At 36.9% G+C, this 23,993-nt stretch overlaps 1 annotated feature.

Annotated features, from left to right (window-relative positions):
• Positions 21,641–22,279: an enhancer, noted in NCBI's record as "NANOG hESC enhancer chr11:48294091-48294729 (GRCh37/hg19 assembly coordinates)". NCBI's record gives its function as "activates a minimal SCP1, AML or CMV promoter by ChIP-STARR-seq in naive H9 embryonic stem cells {active_cell/tissue: H9 hESC(naive)}" and the evidence as "EXISTENCE:reporter gene assay evidence [ECO:0000049][PMID:30033119]".

Below are 23,993 nucleotides of genomic sequence, written 5' to 3'. Positions count from 1 at the left end.
CTCTTTTGATCTTTGTTTGTTTAAAGTCTGTTTTATCAGAGACTAGGATTGCAACCCCTGACTTTTTTTGTTTTCCATTTGCTTGGTAGATCTTCTTCCATCCCTTTATTTTGAGCCTATGTGTGTCTCTGCACATGAGATGGGTTTCCTGAATACAGCACAGTGATGGGTCTTGACTCTTTATCCAATTTGCCAGTCTGTGTCTTTTAATTGGAGCATTTAGTCCATTTACATTTAAAGTTAATATTGTTATGTGTGAATTTGATCCTGTCATTATGATGTTAGCTGGTTATTTTGCTCGTTAGTTGATGCAGTTTCTTCCTAGCCTTGATGGTCTTTACAATTTGGCATGTTTTTGCAGTGGCTGATACCGGTTGTTCCTTTCCACGTTTAGTGTTTCCTTCAGGAGCTCTTTTAGGGCAGGCCTGGTGGTGACAAAATCTCTCAGCATTTGCTTGTCTTTAAAGTATTTTATTTCTCCTTCACTTATGAAGCTTAGTTTGGCTGGATATGAAATTCTGGGTTGAAAATTCTTTTCTTTAAGAATGTTGAATATTGGCCCCCACTCTCTTCTGGCGTGTAGAGTTTCTGCCGAGACATCTGCTGTTAGTATGATGGGCTTCCCTTTGTGGGTAAACTAACCTTTCTCTCTGGCTGCCCTTAACATTTTTTCCTTCATTTCAAGTTTGGTGAATCTGACAATTATGTTTCTTGGAGTTGCTCTTCTCGAGGAGTATCTTTGTGGCATTCTCTGTATTTCCTGAATCTGAATGTTGGCCTGCCTTGCTAGATTGGGGAAGTTCTCCTGGATAATATCCTGCAGAGTGTTTTCCAACTTGCTTCCATTCTCCCTGTCACTTTCAGGTGCACCAATCAGAGGTAGATTTGGTCTTTTCACATAGTCCCATATTTCTTGGAGACTTTGCTCGTTTCTTTTTATTCTTTTTTCTCTAAACTTCCCTTCTCACTTCATTTCATTCATTTCATCTTCCATCACTGATACTCCTTCTTCCAGTTGATTGCATCAGCTCCTGAGGCTTCTGCATTCTTCATGTAGTTCTTGAGCCTTGGCTTTCAGGTCCATCAGCTCCTTTAAGCACTTCTCTGCATTGGTTATTCTAGTTATCCATTCGTCTAATTTTTTTTCAAAGTTTTTAACTCCTTTGCCATTGGTGTGAATTTCCTCCTGTAGCTCGGAATAGTTTGATCATCTGAAGCCTTCTCTCAACTCGTCAAAGTCATTCTCCCTCCAGCTTTGTTCCGTTGCTGGTGAGGAACTGCATTCCTTTGGAGGAGGACAGACACTCTGCTTTTTAGAGTTTCCAGTTTTTCTGCTCTGTGTTTTCCCCATCTTTGTGGTTTTATCTACTTTTGGTCTTTGATGCTGGTGATGTACAGATGGATTTTTGGTGTGGATGTCCTTCCTGTTTGTTAGTTTTCCTTCTAACAGACAGAACCCTCAGCTGCAGGTCTGTTGGAGTTTGCTAGAGGTCCACACCAGACCCTGTTTGCCTGGGTATCAGCAGCAGTGGCTGCAGAACAGCAGATTACCATGAACCACAAATGCTGTTGCCTGATCGGTCCGCTGGAAGTTTTGTCTCAGAGGAGTACCCAGCTGTGTGAGGTGTCAGCCTGCCCCTACTGGGGGGTGCCTCCCAGTTAGGCTGCTCAGGGGTCAGGGACCCACTTGAGGAGGCAGTCTGCCTGTTCTGAGATCTCAAGCTGTGTGCTGGGAGAACCACTACTCTCTTCAAAGCTGTCAGACAGGGACATTTAAGTCTGCCGAGGTTACTGCTGTCTTTTTGTTTGTCTGTGCCCTGCCCCCAGAGGTGGAGCCTACAGAGGCAGGAAGCCCTCCTTGAGCTGTGGTGGGCTCCACTCAGTTCGAGCTTCCCACCTGCTTTGTTTACCTAAGCAAGCCTGGGCAATGGCGGGCGCCCCTCCCCCAGCCTCGCTGCCACCTTGCAGTTTGATCTCAGACTGCTGTGCTAGCAATCAGTGACACTCCGCTGGCATAGGACCCTCCGAGCCATGTGCGGGATATAATCTCCTTGTGTGCCGTTTTTTAAGCCCATTGGAAAAGTGCAGTATTGGGGTGGGAGTGACCCAATTTTCCAGGTGCCGTCTGTCACCCCTTTCTTTGATGAGGAAAGGGAACTCCCTGACCCCTTCCACTTCCCAAGTGAGGCAATGCCTCACCCTGCTTCGGCTCACACACACACGGTGCACTGCACCCCTGTCCTGCACCCACTGTCTGGCACTCCCTAGTGAGATGAACCCGGTACCTCAGCTGGAAATGCAGAAATCACCTTTCTTCTGCATTGCTTATGCTGGGAGTTGTAGACCGGAGCTGTTCCTATTTGGCCATCTTAGCTCCACCCCTCTGGTTGCTGTTATTTTCTTCTGAAGTTTAAGTTGTCTGGCTTCAGTTTGCAGGGTTTTTAGGAAAGCATGGCTTAGTTTTCAGTGACTCCAATTTAGGAAAAATGGAACAAAAAGAAGGAAAAAAATGAAAATTTTATTTTAAAGACCCATAGCCAAGAAAAATTAGAATTCAGTTCAAACATAGAAAATAATAAGAATTGGAGTAAAAAAAAAAAAGTTAGGCAAGACAAATCATGATAGGACTAGTTCGCTTATTATATTTGACCTAATTATTTGTATACAGTGCAGCAAGAATAATTGTTTTTTACCCAGGCTTTTCAATTGGCTATCATGGAACCTTGTTCCATAGGAGGAATCTCAGATAAGACATTTTTAAAGCTGAGCCCAGCCATGGATTTATGCCATCAAATACCTATGAGTTGGGTGAATTTCCTCTCCTCCTTTCGTCCTTAACTTGTATCCTCCAAGAAACAAGGGCTTCTACACCTGTAAGAAAGTGACATTCTTTACTTACCACAGGTCAGAAACCCTGTACCAGGACTGTGTACACATAATATGAGGCAGTCATGAGCCTTTTATAACCATTATTAAGCTGTTGGTTAATACTTCAAGAACACCTTGTTAATCTGACACAAGGATCCATACATTGGTTTTGCATCAGTGTGCCTTTGATATTAATGATAAATCTATAGAGAAACTAAACTGCTTTTATCTTTCAAAATTGGCCCTAACAGCCTTACATGCCCACCTCTTCCATGACAGTCCCTGGGCCTTGAGGAGTTGAATAGCTTTAATTTCTTGCCCTGTGTCTCAGGAATGCAGTTTTTTTTTATTGGCATCTTCTACAGAACCCTAAGATGGGACTTTAGTTGCTGTCAGTATTTAAGATTTAGCAGGACTTGGTGTCCTTTTTAGACCCAGGAGTTAAAGCTTTGTAACTCAATGTCACAAGGACTTTAAAAGCACATGAAGCAAGATATATGGATGAAATAACCTTAATTTTAAAAAATTTTTTGTTTCAGTTTCTTTTCCTAGGCAAGCCAAAGCTTAATGATAATATGACAACTGGATTACATAAAAGGTTTCGGGTTTTTTAAACATAAATACTCTTCTTGTGACTTACACTGAGCATACCTGACATGCTCAGACTTTCTGGTTTCTCCCCAACATCCCTCCTTTTTAAGCAATCAGTTATTTTATTTTAGGACTACATTTACCATATAAGATTCCTTCTTATATATTATTTCCCGTTAAGCCTTTTTACCTCAAAAAATACCTTTTTATTTTTATAACTTTATTTACATCTTTTTTAATGTCCTGGTTGTTTTTACCTTGTTTTACACATAATTCTTTTTTTAATTTTATTATTATTATACCTTAAGTTTTAGGGTACATGTGCACAACATGCAGGTTTGTTACATATATATACATGTGCCATGTTGGTGTGCGGCACCCATTAACTCGTCATTTATATTTCCTAATGCTATCCCTCCCCCAACCCCACAACAGTCCCCAGTGTGCGATGTTCCCCTTCCTGTGTCCACGTGTTCTCATTGTTCAATTCCCACCTATGAGTGAGAACATGTGGTGTTTGGTTTTTTGTCCTTGTGATAGTTTGCTGAGAATGATAGTTTCCAGCTTCGTCCATGTCCCTACAAAGGACAGGAACTCATCATTTTTTATGTCTGCATAGTATTATATGGTGTATATGGGCCACATTTTCTTAATACAGTCTATCATTGCTCAACATTTGGGTTGGTTCCAAGTCTTTGCTATTGTGAATAGTGCTACAATAAACATATGTGTGCATGTGTCTTTATAGAAGCATGATTTATAATCCTATGGGTATATACCCAGTAATGGGATGACTGGGTCAAATGATATGTTTACTTCTAGATCCCTGAGGAATCTCCACACTGACTTCCACAATCATTTAACTAGTTTACAGTCCCACCAACAGTGTAAAAGTGTTCCTATTTTTCCACATCTTCTCCAACACCTGTTGTTTCCTGATTTTTCAATGATTGCCATTCTTACTGGTGTAAGATGGTATCTAATTGTGGTTTTGATTTGCATTTCTCTGATGGCCAGCGATGACAAGGATTTTTTCATGTGTTTTTTGGCTGCATAAATTTCTTCTTTTGAGAAGTGTCTGTTCATATCCTTCACTCACTTTTTTTAAGAAACTGCATAAACTAATGAACAAATTATCCAGCTAACATCATAATGACAGGAACAAATTCACACAAAACAATATTAACCTCAAGTGTAAATGGGCTAAATGCTCCAATTAAAAGACACAGACTGGCAAATTGGATACAGAGTCAAGACCCATCACTGTGCTGTATTCAGGAAACCCATCTCACGTGTAGAGACACACATAGGCTCAAAATAAAGGGATGGAGGAAGATCTACCAAGCAAATGGAAAACAAAAAAAGTCAGGGGTTGCAATCCTAGTCTCTGATAAAATAGACTTTAAACCAACAAAGATCAAAAGAGACAAAGGCCATTACATAATGGTAAATGGATCAATTCAACAAGAAGAGCTAACTATCCTAAATATATATGCACCCAATACAGGAGCACCCAGATTCATAAAGCAAGTCCTGAGTGACCTACAAAGAGACTTCAACTCCCACACAATAATGGTGGGAGATTTTAACACCCCACTGTCAACATTAGACAGATCAACAAGACAGAAAGTTAACAAGGATATGGAGGAATTGAATTCAGCTCTGCTCCAAGTGGACCTAATAGATGTCTACAGATCTCTCCACCCCAAGTCAACAGAATATACATTCTTCTCAGCACCACACCATGCCTATTCCAAAATTGACCATATAGTCGGAAGTAAAGCACTCCTCAGCAAATGTAAAAGAATAGAAATTATAACAAACTGTCTCTCAGACCACAGTGCAATCAAACTAGAACTCAGGATTAAGAAACTCACTCAAAACTTCTCAACTACATGGAAACTGAAAAACCTGCTCCTGAATGACTACTGGGTACATAACGAAAAGAAGGCAGAAATAAAGATGTTCTTTGAAACCAATGAAAACAAAGACACAACATACCAGAATCTCTGGGACACATTCAAAGCAGTGTGTAGAGGGAAATTTATAGCACTAAATGCCCACAAGAGAAAGCAGGAAAGATCCAAAATTGACACCCTAACATCACAATTAAAAGAACTAGAGAAGCAAGAGCAAACACATTCAAAAGCTAGCAGAAGGCAAGAAATAACTAAGATCAGAGCAGAACTGAAGGAAATAGAGACACAAAAAACCCTTCAAAAAATCAATGAATCCATGAGTGGTTTCTTCAAAAGATCAACAAAATTGATAGACTGCCAGCAAGACTAATAAAGAAGAAAAGAGAAAAGAATCAAATAGATGCAATAAAAAATGATAAAGGGGATATCACCACTGATCCCACAGAAATACAAACTACATCAGAGAATACTATAAACACCTCTACACAAATAAACTAGAAAATCTAGAAGAAATGGATAAATTCCTCAACACATATTCCTCCCAAGTCTAAACAAGGAAAAGTTGAATATCTGAATAAAACAATAACAGACTCTGAAATTGAGGCATAATTAATAGCTGACCAACCAAAAAAATTCAAGGACCAGATGGATTCACAGCTGAATTCTACCAGAGGTACAAGGAAGAGCTGGTACCATTCCTTCTGAAACTATTCCAATCAATAGAAAAAGAGGGAGTCCTCCCTAACTCATTTTATGAGGCCAACATCATCCTGATACCACAGCCTGGCAGAGACACAACCAAAAAAGAGAATTTTAGACCAATATCCATGATGAACATTGATGCAAAAATCCTCAATAAGATACTGGCAAACCGAATCCAGCAGCACACCAAAAGCTTATCCACCATGATCAAGTGGGTTTCATCCCCAGGATGCAAGGCTGGTTCAACATATGAAAATCAATAAACATGTTCCAGCATATAAACAGAACCAAAGACAAAAACCACATGATTATCTCAATAGATGCAGAAAAGGCCTTTGACAAAATTCAACAACATTCATGCTAAAAACTCTCAATAAATTAAGTACTGATGGGAAGTATCTCAAAATAATAAGAGCTATCTATGACAAACCCACAGCCAATATCATATTGAATGGGCAAATACTGGAAGCATTCCTTTTGAAAACTGGCACAAGACAGGGATGCCGTCTCTCACCACTCCTATTCAACATAGTGTTGGAAGTTCTGGCCAGGGTAATCAGGCAGGAGAAGGAAATAAAGTGTACACAATTAGGAAAAGAGGAAGTCAAATTGTCCCTGTTTGCAGATGACATGATTGTATATCTAGAAAACTCCATTGTCTCAGCGCAAAATCTTCTTAAGCTGATAAGCAACTTCAGCAAAGTCTCAGGATACAAAATCAATGTGCAAAAATCACAAGCATTCTTATACACCAATAAGAGACAAACAGAGAACAAAATCATGATTGAACTCCCACTCACAATTGTTTCAAAGAGAATAAAATACCTAGGAATCCAACTTACAAGGGATGTGAAGGACCTCTTCAAGGAGAACTACAAACCACTGCTCAAGGAAATAAAAGAGGATAGAAACAAATGGAAGAACATTCCACGCTCATGGGTAGGAAGAATCAATATCGTGAAAATGGCCATACTGCCCAAGGTAATTTATAGATTCAATGCCATCCCCATCAAGCTACCAATGACTTTCTTCACAGAATTGGAAAAAACTACTTTAAAGTTCATATGGAACCAAAAAAGAGCCTGCATTGCCAAGTCAATCCTAAGCCAAAAGAACAAATCTGGAGGCATCAGGCTACCTGACTTCAAACTATACTACAAGGCTACAGTAACCAAAAGAGCATGGTACTGGTACCAAAACAGAGATATAGACCAATGGAACAGAACAGAGCCCTCAGAAATAATGCTGCTTATCTACAGCTATCTGATCTTTGACAAACCTGAGAAAAACAAGCGATGGGGAAAGGATTCCCTATTTAATAAATGGTGCTGGGAAAACTGGCTAGCCATAAGTAGAGAGCTGAAACTGGATCCCTTCCTTACACCTTATACAAAAATTAATTCAAGATGGATTAAAGATTTAAATGTTAGACCTAAAACCATAAAAACCCTAGAAGAAAACCTAGGCAATACCATTCAGGACATAGGCATGGGCAAGGACTTCATGTCTAAAACACCAAAAGCAATGGCAACAAAAGCCAAAATAGACAAATGGGATCTAATTAAACTAAAGAGCTTCTGCACAGCAAACGAAACTACCATCAGAGTGAACAGGCAACCTACAGAATGGGAGAAAAATTTTGCAACCTACTCATCTGACAAAGGGCTAATATCCAGAATCTACAATGAACTCAAACAAATTTACAAGAAAAAAACAACCCCATCAAAAAGTGGACAAAGGAAGTGAACAGACACTTCTCAAAAGAGGACATTTATGCAGCCAAAAGACACATGAAAAAATGCTCATCATCACTGGCCATCAGAGAAATGTAAATCAAAACCACAATGAGATACCATCTCACACCAGTTAGAATGGTGATCATTAAAAAGTCAGGAAACAACAGATGCTGGAGAGGATGTATACATATAGAAATACTTTTACATTGTTGGTAGGATGGTAAACTAGTTTAACTATTGTGGAAGTCAGCGTGGCGATTCCTCAGGGATCTAGAACTAGAAATACCATTTGACCCAGCAATCCCATTACTGGGTATATACCCAAAGGATTATAAATCATGCTGCTATAAAGACACATGCACATGTATGTTTTTTGTGGCACTATTCACAATAGCAAAGACTTGGAACCAACCCAAATGTCCAACAATGATAGATTGGATTAAGAAAATGTGGCCCATATACACCATGGAATACTATGCAGCCATAAAAAATGATGAGTTCATGTCCTTTATAGGGACTTGGATGAAGCTGGAAACCATCATTCTCAGCATACTATCACAAGGACAAAAAACCAAACACTGCATGTTCTCGCTCATTGGTGGGAATTGAACAATGAGAATGCATGGACACGGGAAGGAGAACATCACACACTGTGGCCTGTTGTGGGGTGGGGGGAGTGAGGCGGGATAGCATTAGGAGATATACCTAATGTTAAATGACGAGTTAATGGGTGCAGCACATCAATATGGCACATGTATACATACGTAACAAACATGCACGTTGTGCACATGTACCCTAAAACTGAAAGAATAATAAAATAAAAAATAAAAATAACCTCAGGCCAATATCCCTGGTGAACATGGATTGAAAATCCTCAATAAAATACTGGCAAACTAAATCCAGCAGCACATCAGAACACTTATCCACCATGAACAAGTTGGCTTCATTCCTGGGATGCAAGGCTCATTCAACATATGCAAGTCAATAAACATAATCCATTACAGAAACAGAACTAATGACAAAAACCACATAATTATATCAATAGATGTGAGAAAGCCCTTTGATAAAATTCAACATCCCTTTATGTTAAAAACTCTCAATAAACTAGGTATTGTTGGAATATATCGCAAAATAATAAGAGCTATTTATGACAAACCCATAGCCAATATCATATTGAATAGGCCAAAACTGGAAGCATTCCCTTTGAAAAGCAGCACAATACAAGGATGCCCTCTCTCACCACTCCTGTGTGACATAGTGTTGGAAGTTCTGGCCAGCACAATCAGGCAGGAGAAATAAATAAAGTGTATTCAAATACGAAGACAGGAAGTCAAATTGCCTCTGCTTGCAGATGACATGATTCTGTATTTAGAAAACCCCATCATCTCAGCCCAAAAACTCTTTAAGCTGATAAGTAACTTCAGCAAAGTCTCAGGATACAAAATCAATGTTCGAAAATCACAAGCATTACTATAAACCAATAATGGACAAGCAGAGAGCCAAATCATGTGTGAACTCCCATTCACAATTGCTGCAAAGAGAATTAAAAACCTAGGAATACAGATAACAAGGGGCATGAAGAACCTCTTCAAGGAGAACTACAAACCACTGCCCAGGAAAATAAGAGAGGACACAACAAATGGAAAAACATTTATTCTCACGGATAGAAAGAATCAATATTGTGAAAATGGCCATACTGCCCAAAGTAATTTATAGATTCAATGCTATTTCCATCAAACTACCATTGACACTTTTCACAGAATTAGAAAAAACTAAATTTCATATGGAACCAAAAAAGAGCCCATATAGCCAAGATGTTCCTAAGAAAAAAGAACAAAGCTGGAGGCATCACAGTACCTGACTTCCAACTATACTACAAGGCTACAGTAACAAAAACAGCATGATACTGGTACCAAAACAGACACATAGAGCAATGAAACAGAACAGAGACCTCAGAAATAACACTACATGCGATCCTCAACAAACATGGCAAAAACAAGCAATTTGGAAAAGATTCTCTATTTAATAAATGGTGCTGGGAAAACTGGCTAGCCATATGAAGAAAACTGAAACTGGACCCCTTCCTTACACCTTATACAAAAATTAACTAAAGATGGATTAAAGACTTAAATGTAAAACCCCAAATCATAAAAACCCTAGAAGAAAACCTAGGCAATACCATTCAGGACATACGCATGGGCAAAAACTTCATGACTAAAACACCAAAAGCATTTGCAACAAAAGCAAAAATTGACAAAATGGATCAATTAAACTAAAGAACTCCTCCAAAGGGGAAAAAAACTAGCATCAGAGTGAACAGACAACCTACAGAATGGGAGAAAAATTTTGCAATTTACCCATCTGACAAAGGGCTAATATCCAGAATATATGAGGAAATTAAACAAATTTACAAGAAAAAAATAAACAAGCCCCTCAAAAAGTGGGCAAAGGATATGAATAGATGCCTCTCAAAAGAAGACATTTATGTGGCCAACAAACATGAAAAATAGCTCAACATCTCTGATCATTAGAGAAATGCAAATCAAAACCACAATGAGATACCATTTCACACCAGTCAGAATGGCAATTATTAAAAAGGCAAGAACCAATAGATGCTGGTGAGGCTGCGGAGAAATAGGAACACTTTTACACTGTTGGTGAGAATGTAAATTAGTTCAACCATTGTGGAAGACAGTGTGGTGATTTCTCAAGGATCTAGAACCAGAAATACCAGTTGACCCAGCAATCCAATTCCTGGGTATATACCCAAAGGAATATAAATCATTCTACTGTAAAGACACATGCACACATATTTATTGCAGCACTATTTAGAATAGCAAAGACATGGAACCAACCCAAATGCCTATCAGTTATAGACTGTATAAAGAAAATGTGGTACCTATACCCCAGCAAATACTATGCAGCCATAAAAAAGAAGTTTATGTCCTTTGCAGGGACATGGATGAAGCTGGAAGCCATCATCCTCAGCAAACTAATACAGGAACAGAAAACCAAACACCACAGATTCTCATTCATAAATGGGAGTTGAACAATGAGAGCACATGGACTCTGGGAGGGGAATGACACACACTGTGGCCTATCAGGGGTTGGGGGGAAGGGGAGGGAAAGCATTAGAACAAACACCTAATGCAGGTGAGGCTTAAGACCTAGATGACAAGTTGATAGGTACAGCAAACCACCATGGCACAAGTGTAACTATATAACAAACTTGCATGTTCTACACATGTATTTTGAAACCTAAAGTAAAATAAAAATAAAATAAAATAAAATAAATGCTAAAAGGAGTTATAAATCTTGAAACAAAACCTTGAAATACACCAAAATAGAGACCCCTTAAATTACAACTCTCAGAGTCTACAAAACAATAGCACAATGGAAAGAAAAAAAGTATTAAGGCAACAACAACTAAAATGATGAACAGAACAGTACCTCACATCTCAATAGTAACATTGAATGTACATGGCCTAAATGCTCCACTTAAAATATACAGAATGACAGAATGGATAAAAATCCAGCAACCAAGTATTTGCTGTCTTCAAGAGACTCGCCTAACCTATAAGAATTCACATAAACTTAAGATGAACAGGAGGGGGTTCAACCCAAGTGGAAACCAAAAACAAGTTCAACACAAGTGGAAACCAAAAGCAAGTGGAGTAGCTATGCTTAAATCAGGCAAAATAGAGTTTAAAGCAATAACAGTTTAAAAACACAAAAAAATCATTATTATATAATGATAAAAGGTATAGTCCAATAGGAAAATTCTAAATATATATGCACCTAACACTGGAGCTCTCAAATTTATAAAACAATTACTACTTGGCCTAAGAAGTGAGATAGATGGCAACACAATAATAGCAAAGGACTTCAATACTCCACTGACAGCACTAGAAAGGTTACCAAGACATAAAGTCAACAAAGAAACAACGGACTTAAACTATGGCTTGAAACAAATGGACTTAACAGATATTTACAGCACATTCTGCCCAACAACTGCAGAATATACATTCTTTGCATCAGCACATGGAACATTCTCCAATATAGACCATATGATAGGCCACTAAAACAAGTCTCTATCAATTTAAGAAAATCAAAATTATATCAAGTATCCAAGACCACAGTGAAATAAAACTGGAAATTTACTCCAAAAGAAACATCAAAAGCTATACAAATACATGGAAATTAAAATATCTGCTCTTGAATGATCATTGGGTCAACAATGAAATCAAGATCAAAATTTTAAAATTCTTTGAGCTGAATGATAATAGTGACACAACTTACCAAAACCTCTGGGATACAGCAAAAGCAGTGCTAAGAGGAAAGTTCATAGCATTAAATGCCTATATCAAAAAGTCTGAAAGAGCACAAATAGACATACCTCAAGGATCTACAGTCACACCTCAAGAAACTAGAGAAAAAAGAACAAACCAAACCAAAACCCAGCAGAAGAAAAGATATAACAAAGATCAGAGCACAACTAAATGAAATTGAAACCAAAAAATAATAATTCAAAAGATAAATGAAATAAGCTTATTTTTTGAAAAGATAAACAAAACTGATAGACCATTAGTGGGAATAACCAAGAAAAGAAGAGGAAAAAATCCAAATAAGCTCAATTAGAAATAAAACAGGAGATATTACAACTGATACCACAGAAATACTAAAGATCATTCAAGGCTACTATGAACACCTTTACTCACACAAACTAGAAAACCTAGAGGAGATGGATTAATTCAAGGAAATATATAACCCTCCCAAATTAAATCAGAAGGAAATAGAAAACTCTGAACACATCAATAACAAGCAGCAATATTAACAGTAGTAAAACAAAAGCCAACAAAAAAAGTCCAAGACCAGATGAATTCACAGATGAATTCTATCAGACATTTAAAGAACAATTGGTACCAACTTTAATACTATTCCAAAAGACAGAGAGAGGGAAATCTCCCTAAATCATTCTATGAAGCCAATATCAACCTAATTCCAAAATTAGGAAAGGACATAATGGAAAAAAAAATAAAGACCAATATCCCTGATTAACATAAATGCAAAAATCCTCAACAAAATACTAGCTAACCAAATCCAACAACATATCAAAAAGATAATACACCATGATCAAGTGAGTTTCATAACTGGTATGCACGAATGATTTAACATGCACAAGTCAGTAAATGTGATACATCACATAAACAAAATTAAACACAGAAATCGTATGATCATCTCAATAGATGGAGAAAAAAGCATTTGACAAAATCCAGCATCCCTTTATGATTAAAACCCTCAGCAAAATCAGCATAGAAGGGACATACCTCAGGGTAATAAAAGCCATCTATGACTAACCCACAGCCCACATTATACTGAATGGGGAAAAGTTGAAAGTATTCCCCTGAGAACTGGAACAAAGCAAGGATGCCCACTTACACCACTTTTATTCAACATAGTACTGGAACTCCTAGCCACAGCAATCAGACTAGAGAAAGAAATGAAAGGCATCCAAATCAGTAAAGAGGTTGTCAAACTGTTGCTGTTCACCAATGATATGATTGTATACTTAAAAAACCCTGAAGATTCAACCAAACACTCCTAGATTTGACAAATGAGTTCAGTAAAGTTTCAGCATACAAAATCAATGTACATAAATCAGTAGCACTGCTATACACCTACAATGACAAAGCTGAGAAACAAATGAAGAACTCAATCTTTTTTAACAACAGCTGCAAAAAATAAAATAATATAAAATACTTAGGAATATACCTTACCAAGGACATGAAAGACCTCTACAAGGAAAACTACAAGACACGGCTGAAAGAAATCAATGATACAAATGGGAACACATCCCTTCCTTACGGATGGGTAGAATGAATATAGTGAAAATGACCATACGGCCAAAACCGATCTACAGATTCAATGCAATTCCTATCAAAGTATTTATTATCATTTTTCACAGAACTACAAAAAAAATTCTAAAATTCATATGGAACTGAAAAGACCCCACATAGTCAAAGCAAGACAAAGCAAAAGGGACAAATCTGGAGGCATCACATTACCTAATTTCAAACTATACTACAAGGCTATAGTTACCAAAGCAGCATGGTGCTGGTATAAAAATAGTCATGTAGACCAATGGAACAGAATAGAGAACCAAGAAATAAAGCCAAATACTTGCCACCAACTGATCTTCACCAAAGCAAACAAAAACATAAAGTGGGGAAAGGACACCCTATTCAACAAATGGTGCTGAGATAACTGGCAAGCCACATGTAGAAGAATATAACTGGATCCTCATCTGTGACCTTACACAAAAATCAACTCAAGATGGATCAGAGACTTAAATCTAAGGCCTAAAACCATAAAAAATTCTAGAAGATAACATCAGTAAAACTCTTCTAGATGTAGGCTTAGGCAAAGAGTTCACGACCAAGAACCCAAAAGCAAATGCAACAAAAACAAAAATAAGTAGATGGGACTTAATTCAACTAAAAAGCTTCTGCACAGCAGAAGAAATAATCCACAGAGTAAACAGACAACCCATAGAATGGGAAAAAATATTTGTAAACTTTGCATCTGACAAAGGGCTAATATCCAGAATCTGCGAGACACTCAAATCAGCAAGAAAAAGCAAATAATCCAATCAATAAGTGGGCTAAGGACATGAATGGATAATTCTCAAATGAAGATATGCAAATGGCCAATAAACATGAAAATATGCTCAATATCATTAATTATCAGGGAAATGCAAATCAAAATGATAATGCAATACCACTTTACTCCTGCAAGAATGCCCTTAATCAAAAAATTTAAAATAATAGATGTTGGTGTGGATGTGGTGAAAAGGGAACAATTTTACACTGCTGGTGATAATGTAAACTAGTACAACCGCTACATAAAACAGTATGGAGACTCCCTAAAGAACTAAAAGTAGAACTACTATTGACCCAGCAATCCCACTACTGGGTATTTACCTAGAGAAAGTTATTAAATGAAAGACACTTGCACATGCATATTTATAGCATCACAATTCACAATTGCAAAAATATGGATCAAGCCCAAATGCCCATCAATCAATGAGTGGATAAAGAAAATATGTCATATATACATCATGGAATACTACCCACCCATAAAGAGGATTAAATAATGGCATTTGAAACAGCCTGGATGGAGTTGGAGACCATTATTCTAAGTGAAGTAACTCAGAAGTGAAAAATCAAATATCATAGGTTCTCACTTGTAAGTGGGAGCTCAGTTATGAGGACACAAAGGCATAAGAATGATGTAATGGACTTTGGGAATGCAGGGGAAAGATGGTGGGGTGAGTGATAAAAAACTACACATTGGGTACAGTGTACACTGCTTGGATGATGGATGCACTAAAATCTCAGAAATTACCACTAAAATAACTTATCCATGTAACAAAAAACCACATGTTCCTCAAAAACTATTGAAATAAATTAATTAATTTTTAAAAAGAAATCATCTGAATGTTAAAAACTCACTGATAATAGTAAGTACACAGAATATTATATTAAATAACACTGTGACTGTGGTGTTGTGTAAACTATCTTCTTTTTTTTTTTTTTTTTTTTGAGATGGAGTCTCGCTCTGTCACCAGGCTGGAGTGCAGTGGCACAGTCTCAGCTCACTGCAACCTCCGACTCCCTGGTTCAAGCAATTCTCCTGCCCCAGCCTCCTGAGTAACTGGGATTATAGGCATGTGCCACCACACCCAGCTAATTTTTGTATTTTTAGTACAGACAGGGTTTCACCATGTTGGCCAGGATGGTCTCGATCTTCTGACCTCATGATCCACCCACCTCAGCCTCCCAAAGTGCTGGGATTACAGGTGTGAGCCACTGTGCCCAGCTGTAAATTATCTTAAGTAAGTAGGAAGGCTAAAATGTGAACCAATCAAAAATAAGAACTACAACTTTCAAGGCACAGTCAGTACAAAAAGATATAAATAAAAATGACAAAAAGTTAAAAAGTAAGGAACAAAGTTAATGTTTAGTGTTTTTATTAGTACTCTTTTTGCTTGTTTGTTTGTTTGTTCAGACAAGCAGTGGTAAGTTGTTTTCGCTTAAAAAATGGTTATAAGATAGCCTTATAATAACCTAAAAACTAAAAACATACAACATATACACACAAAACCAATAGCAAGAAATTAAATCATACCACCAGAAAATATCACCTATCAATAATGACATTGAATGTAAATATACTAAAATCTCCAATCAAAAGACATAGAGTGGCTGAATGGATAAATAACAGGACCCAATGATCTACTACCTACAAGAAACACACTTCACCTATAAAGACACACATGGACTGAAAATGAATGAATGGAAAAAGATATTCCATGACAATAAAAAACAAAAAAGAGCAGGAGTAGCTATACTTGTATCAGATAAAATAGATTTCAAGACAAAACTATAAGAAGAGACAATGAAGTTCATTTTATAATGACAAAAAAGTCAGTTTAGCAAAGGAATGTAACAATTGTAAATATATATGCACCCAACACTGGAGCAGCCACATATATAAAGCAAATATTATTAGAGCTGAAAAGAGCAAGCGACCCAATACTGTAATAGCTGGAGACTTCAATAACCCTACTTTGAGCATTGGACAGGTTTTCCAGACAGAAAAATCAACAAAGAAACATCAGACTTAATCTGCACCATAGAACTAATAGAAATAGACCTAACAGATATTTACAGAACATTTAATCCAGTGGCTGTAGAATAAACATACTTTTCCTTAGCACATGGATCATTCTCAAGGATATGTTAGGTCACAAAACAAATCTGAAAACATCAAAAAAATTGAAATAATATTCAGCATTTAGACTAAAACTAGAAATAAATAGTAAGAGGAATGTTGGAAACTATACAAACACATGAGAATTAAACATATGCTCCTGAATGACCAGTGGGTCAATAAAGAAAATAAGAGTAAAATTGAAAAATTCCTTGAAACAAATGATAATGTAAACATGACATACCAAAACCTATGGGATATAGCAAAAGCAGTACTAACAGGGAAGTTTATAGCTATAAGTACCTATATCAAAAAAGAAGAAAATTTTCAAACAAACAACCTAACAATGCATCTTAAAGAACTAGAAAATCAAGAGCAAACAAACTCAAAATTAGTAGAAGAGAAACAATAATCAGAGCAAAGATAAATGAAAATGAAATAAAAAAATACAAAAGATCAATGAAACAAAAAGCTAATTTTTTGAAAAGATAAACAAAACTGACAAACATTTAGTCAGAATAACTAAGAAAAAAAGAGTAAAGACCTGAATAAATAAAATCAGAGATTAAAAAGGAGATATTACAACTGATACCGCAGAAATTCAAAGGATCATTAGTGGCTACCATGAGCAACTACATGCAAATAAATTAGACATTTTAGCAAAAATGGATAAATTCCTAGACACATATAATCTACCAAGATTGATCCATGGAGAAATCAAAAACCTAAACAGACTGATAACAAATAACAAGATTGAAGCCATCATTTAAAAATCTCCCAGCGAAGAAAAGCCTGGGACCCCATGGCTTCACTGCTGAATTCTACCAAACATTTAACCCATTTCCCATTTAGAAAATAAAAGTGCAGCTCTTTGCCAGCACACTATTCTCAAGGCAAACAGGAAATAGGTTAAAGAAGAACTAATACCAATTCTATTCAAACTACTCTGGAAAATAGAGGAGGGGAGAATACTTCTGAATTCATTCTACAAGGCTAGTATTACCCTGATACCAAAACCAGACAAAGACACATCATTAAAAGAAAACTACCAGCTAATATCATTGATGAATATTGATGCAAATATCCTCAACAAAATACTGGCAAACTGAATTCAACAATACGTTTAGAAGATCATTTATCATGATCAAGTGGGATTTATCCCAGGGATGCAAGTTTGGGTTAACACACAAAAATCAATTAATGTGATACATCATATGAACAGAATGAAGGATATTATTTGATCATTTCAACTGAAGCTGAAAAAGCATTTGATAAAGCTCAACATCTCTTCATCATAAAAACCTTCAAAAAACTGGGTATGGAAGGAACATACTTCAATATAACAAAAGCCATATATGACAGACCCATATGTAATATTGTACTGAATGAGGAAAAACTGAAAGCCTTTCGTCTAAGATCTGCAATACAATAACGATGCCCACTTTCACCACAGTCATTCAACATAGTACTGGAAGTTTGAGCTAGAGCAATCAGACCAAATAAATAAAGGGCCTCCATATTGGAAAGGAAGGGGTCAAATTACACTTATTTGCAGATATAATCTTGTATTTGGAAAAAACTAAAGACTCCAGCAAAAAACTATTAGAAATGATAAACAAATTCAATAAAGTTGCAGGATACAATATCAACATACAAAAGTCAGTATGCCAACAGCAAACAGTCTGAAAAAGAAATCAAGAAAATAATCCCATTTACAATAACTACAAATAAAATTAAATACTTAGGAATTAACATCACCAAAGAAGTGAAAGGTCTCTACAATTAAAACTATAAAACATTGATTCAAGACATTGAAGAGGATACAGAAAATATAGGAATATATTCCATTTTTGTGGATTAGAAGAATCAATATTGTTAAAATGTTTATACTACCCATAACAATCTACAAATTCAATACAATCTCTATCAAAATACCAATGACATGTTTCACATAAATAGAAAAAACAACTCTAAAATTTATATGGAATCACAAAAGACCCAGAATAGCCAAAGCTATCTTGGGAAAAAGAACAAAACTGGAGGAATTGCATTACCTCACTTCAAATTATACTACAGAGCTATAGTAACCAAAATGGCATGCTGCTGGCATAAAAACCAATGCACAGACCAGTGGATCAGAATAGAGAACCAGGAAATAAACCCATACATCTAGAGTGAATTGATTTTTTACAATGGTGCCAAGAACATACATTGGGGAAAGGACAGTTTCTTCAATAAATGGTGCTTGGAAAACTGGATATTCATGTGCAGAAAGAATAAAACTAGACTCCTATCTCTCACCATATACAAAAATCAAATCAAAGAAGATCAAAGGCCTAAACCTAAGACCTCAAACTATAAAAACTACTACAAGAAGCATTGGGAAAACTCCAGGACATTGGACTGGGCAAAGATTTCTTGAGTAACACCCCATAAGCACAGGCAACCAAAGCAAAAATGGACAAATAAAATCACATCAAGTTAAAAAGCTTCTGCACTGTGAAGGAAACAATCAACAAAGTTAAGAGACAACCCACAGAATGGGAGAAAATATTTGCAAACTCTCTATCTGACAAAGGATTAATAACCAGAATATATAAGTAGCTCAAACAACTCTGTAGGAAAAAATTTAATAACCTGATTTTAAAATGGGCAAAAGACATGTCTAAAAAAAGACATGCAAATGGCAAACAGATATATGAAAAGGTGCTCAACTTTATTGATCACCAGAGAAATGCATATAAAAACTACAATGAGATATTATCTTACCCCAGTTTAAATGGCTTATATCCAAAAGACAGGCAGTAACAAATGCTGGCAAGGATATGGAGAAAAGGGAACTCTTGTAGACTCTTGGTGGGAATGTAAATTAGTATAACTACTATGAAAAACAGTTTTGAGCCTCCTTCAAAAACTAAAAATAGAGCTACCATGTGATCCATCAATTTCACTCCTAGGTATACAATCAGAAGAACGGAACTCAGCATATCAAATAGTTAGCTGTGCTCCCATGTTTATTGCACACTATTCACAATAGCCACCATTTGGAAACAAATTAAGTGTCCACCAACAGAAAAATGGATAAAGACAATGTGATATATACACCCAATGAAGTACTATCCAGCCATAAAAAGAATTAGATCCTGTCATTTGCAACAACATGGATGGAACTGGAGAACATTATATTAAGTGAAATAGGCCAGGCACAGAAAGACAAACTTCGTATATTTTCACTTATATGTGGGAGCTAAAAATTAAAACAATTGAACTGATTGAGATTCAATGAAAGTAGAGCATAGAATGATGGTTACCAGAGGCTAAGAAGAGTAGTGGAGATTGGCAAGGAAGCTGCCAACCATGTAAAGCTACTTACTTGCTTTCTAGTTATTCTTAAATTCATCAAATACTGATTCATGGTGAATGAGTGCCAAAAAAAATCGAATAAACAAGACCTAGTATTTTCTAGCACAACAGGATGACTATAGTCAAAAATAATTTATTGTACATATTAAAATAACTAAAAGAGTGTAAGTGGATTGTTTGTAACACAAAGGATAAATGCTTAAGGTGATGGATACCCCATTTACCCTGATGTGATTATTACACATTGCATGTCTGCATCAAAATATCTCATGTAACCCATAAATAGATACACTAAATATGTACCCACTAAAATTAAAAATAAAAAATGAATTAATAGAACTACCATATGATCCAGTAATTCCACTACTGGATGTATATACAAAAGATAAGAAATCAGTATGCCAAAGAGGTATCTGCACTTCTATATTCATTGCAGCATTTTTCACAATAGCCAGGATACAGATGCAACCTAAATGCCCATCAATGAATGAATGGATAAAGGAAATGTGGTATATATACACAATAAAATACCATTCCACCTTTATAAAAAAGGAAATCCTGTCATTTACAACAACATGGATGAATCTGGAGAGTACTGTGGTAAGCCAAGCACAGAAAGACAAATACAGCATGATCCCACTTATATGTGGAATCTTAAAAAATTGAACTTATGGAAACAGAGTAAAATGTTGGTTAGCAGAATCTGAGTTACAAATTTTGAATCAAGTATATACATAGTTTTATATTCAGACTTTTTCCCTTAACACTTTAAGCATTTCCACAGATGATATTCTTCAAAAGATGTTTTTAATGGTGCATTATTAAAAAGTCCCATAATTTATTTAACTATTTATCTGTATATGAGCTTTTGAGTGACTCTCAATTTTAGACTATAGTAAATGCCCTCACTGTGTAGCTCTCTGGTAGTTTTTCCTAAGATTGATTCCTTAAATTGGGAAGGTTGAGGTGGAGGGCATGAACTTTATTAGGATCCAGATAGAATCTCAATACAATGTAAAAACAATGTCATTTGCTATTCTGGGAATTAAAGAAGACACTAATAAAACAATGATCATTAGCTCCCAACTCAGACTACCCTTCTTGGGCCTAAAGGTCTTCCAGCACCTTCAACTGCTCCTTCAGGGACTCATTTCTATCCATTTCCTTTTCTCATACTCTCCAAAATCCTCACGTTATCCTTAAACCATAAACTTCCCCTTGAACCTTGTAGTCTGTGAATACCTGAACAAGACTGAGTATAGCACAAAAAAAGATTTCCCACTTCTTATACCTCAGGCTGCCACCATCATTGTGGAGATGGTGTGGGTCAGGCACTGTTCATGAGCTTAACCCACTATCCTAGTTCACACTTATCACAATTCTTAAAGATAACTAACAACATCCTCACTATACAAATGAAGAGAAGGAAACTCCAGAAGTTTAGCTTTAAATGACTTGCTCTAGGTGAGACATAGCAAGTACCATATAATAGGAATTGAAAGCAAATCTGCCTGATTCCAAAACCAATGCTTATTTGCTACAACCTTCTGGTGTGAGACCCTTCTACTCTCTCCAGTCTCACACCACTGAAAAACTTTAGAGACATGAACATTGGACTTGACTTTACACAAACAAGTCAGCATCAACAAAAAGATGAAGGTTAGACTAAGTGCTGTGATTCTAAGCTGGAAAAATAGAAATATCCCCCCCAAAATCAATTTCACTGATATTGATGACTTTAATGATGAATTAGTATTTGATGAATTTAAGAATAGCTAGGAAGCAAGTAAGTTGCTTTACATCTTTACTAATTCCCTTCACTACTTTTCCTGGGAACTGGTAGGGGATTGAGATTCACATTACACTGAATTTGTCCTCTCCCCAGTTTTCAAATACATTGTTTTGAAATACAAAAGAAATTTGTAATGCAATTTAGAAACATTTCTACCTTAAAAGATTAAAATGTAAAAAGTCTTCTAAATGCCTTTTAAGCTTCAAGTATTCAAAGAACTCATTTACATGAAAAAGCTCCTTGCTGGGTGGGTCTGGGCTTTGGAGAAAGTGTTCTAAGACTACACCTCAAAGAAAATACACTCTCAATTGCTCTAATTTGCAAAAAGTTAATGTGCCATCAGGGACCACATGCCAGGGCAGCCCATTCCTTGGTCTGTAAACTCTGACCCCTCTACTCTAAGTACACATCCTTCGCTGCAGTCCTATGCCTTCAGCAGCTCCCAGTCATGGTCTGGGCATCCATCTAGCAAGCCTCTAAAGAATAAATACATGTGAAACTACTTTCTGAGCTTTAACCTGACCATGAGTAGAAAGACCAGTAACCACAGCAGCGTAATATTTGCTTGTACTTATTGAACACTTACTGTGTGCCTGGACTTGTGCAGACCACTTTAAATGCCTCATCTCACTTAATCCACTCAACATCACTTCGAGGAAGCTACTATGATTGTTTCTATTTTTCAGATGAGGGACGTAAGGATTCAAATGACTGAGTGACTGGGTCAAATTCACACAGTGGTAAGGGTTAGAGCAGGAAATGTAACCCAGTGTCCAGGGCGTTAATGCTATCCTCTTAGTCGCCATACAATACTCCTGACCAAGGAAGTGGGACCACCTGATCACCAAGAGGCCATGTTCTCAGCAACTAATGAGTAATGGTTAAGAAAATGGTTAAGGAGAAGAATTCTAGTGATACCTTGGCAATCTGAAGAAAAAAAAATCAAATCAGATGTCAAACCCCCAAGCAGGATCTTGAGGAATACTCAAATACTGTGCAGCAGGACTTCCATGTGGGCACTGAGAACAGAACAGGGACAGAGCAAAGCAAGTGAAGACATCTGTTTTCTACAAGGTTCCCTGGTCAGTTCAGGTTTATTCTAGATAGAGTCCCCAAAAGACCAAGCCTACATGAGAACTGACCTTAGTGAGCTCCACCCTCCTCCAGTGAGCAACCAAAGTCAAGAAGCCTGACAAGATAACTAGAGAGTTGCAGTGAATTGTTAAGCACAAGGGGTTCAAGGAAGCTCATGTGGTATCACCCCAGCCAAAGCCATCACTAAATTTGAGTGCCACTGCTTTAAGAGTTATAGCACATTCATTTTTAGTAAAAGTACCTTGAGGCTTGCTAATGAGACTCCAGGGGCATTGCATTCCAATTAGAGGAGTGGGCCATGGAGACACCATACCCCCTTATCACATTTACTTAGTGGTTCAGACTAACTTTGGAAGCTATGAAAGCCACTGTTTTTATTTTTGTCTTAGACTCCTGTACTCAGTCATCACAAACTCATTTATTCTACATGTAGTTATTAAGCAACTACAATACATAGGGCATGGTTTTGTGCCATCTATTTGGGGAAATAAGCTGGTACTAAACATGAAGTCATCTGGGTTTTCTTGTGAGTAGCAGGGACAAGTTTGAACTAAACTAGCCCCTTGACTACCACCTTATGTTTACATAGCATTTTGAAGTGTTTTCACCCTGTGAGTTAGATAAGACATACAAGGAGTGATATAACATGGTGCTTAAAAGCATGGACCAGGGAGTCAACCTGCCTTGTTTAATGGCTGACTCTCCTATTTGCTAGATATATAACCTGCAAGAGTGACTTAACTTCCCTTGATGTCATTTCTTCATCTGCAATTTTTTCTTTCTCAGGTTTAAAGAAATCAATAAACAATTCTACAGTCATAATTGGAGAAATTAATTCTGTCAGAAGCATTTGAACCAGAGTGACTCCATCTTCAATAGGGGCTGAGTAAAATGAGGCTGAGACCTACTGGGTTGCACTCCCAGGAGGTTAGGCACTCTAAGGCACAGGATGACATAGCAGATCAGCACAAGATACAGGTCATAAAGACCTTATTAACAAAATGGGTGGCGATAAAGAAGCCCTCCAAATTCCACCAAAACCAAGATGGCAATTAAAGTGACCTCTGATCATCCTCACTGCTCATTATATGCTAATTATAATGTATTAGCATGCTAAAAGACACTCCCACAAGTGCCATGACCATTTACAAATGC

The sequence above is a fragment of the Homo sapiens genome, chromosome 11 (genome assembly GCF_000001405.40).
Source record: "Homo sapiens chromosome 11, GRCh38.p14 Primary Assembly".
In the NCBI taxonomy this organism is placed as follows: Eukaryota; Metazoa; Chordata; class Mammalia; order Primates; family Hominidae; genus Homo; species Homo sapiens.
The sequence above is the reverse complement of the archived record's forward strand: the minus strand, read 5'-3'. Positions and strand labels throughout refer to the sequence as shown.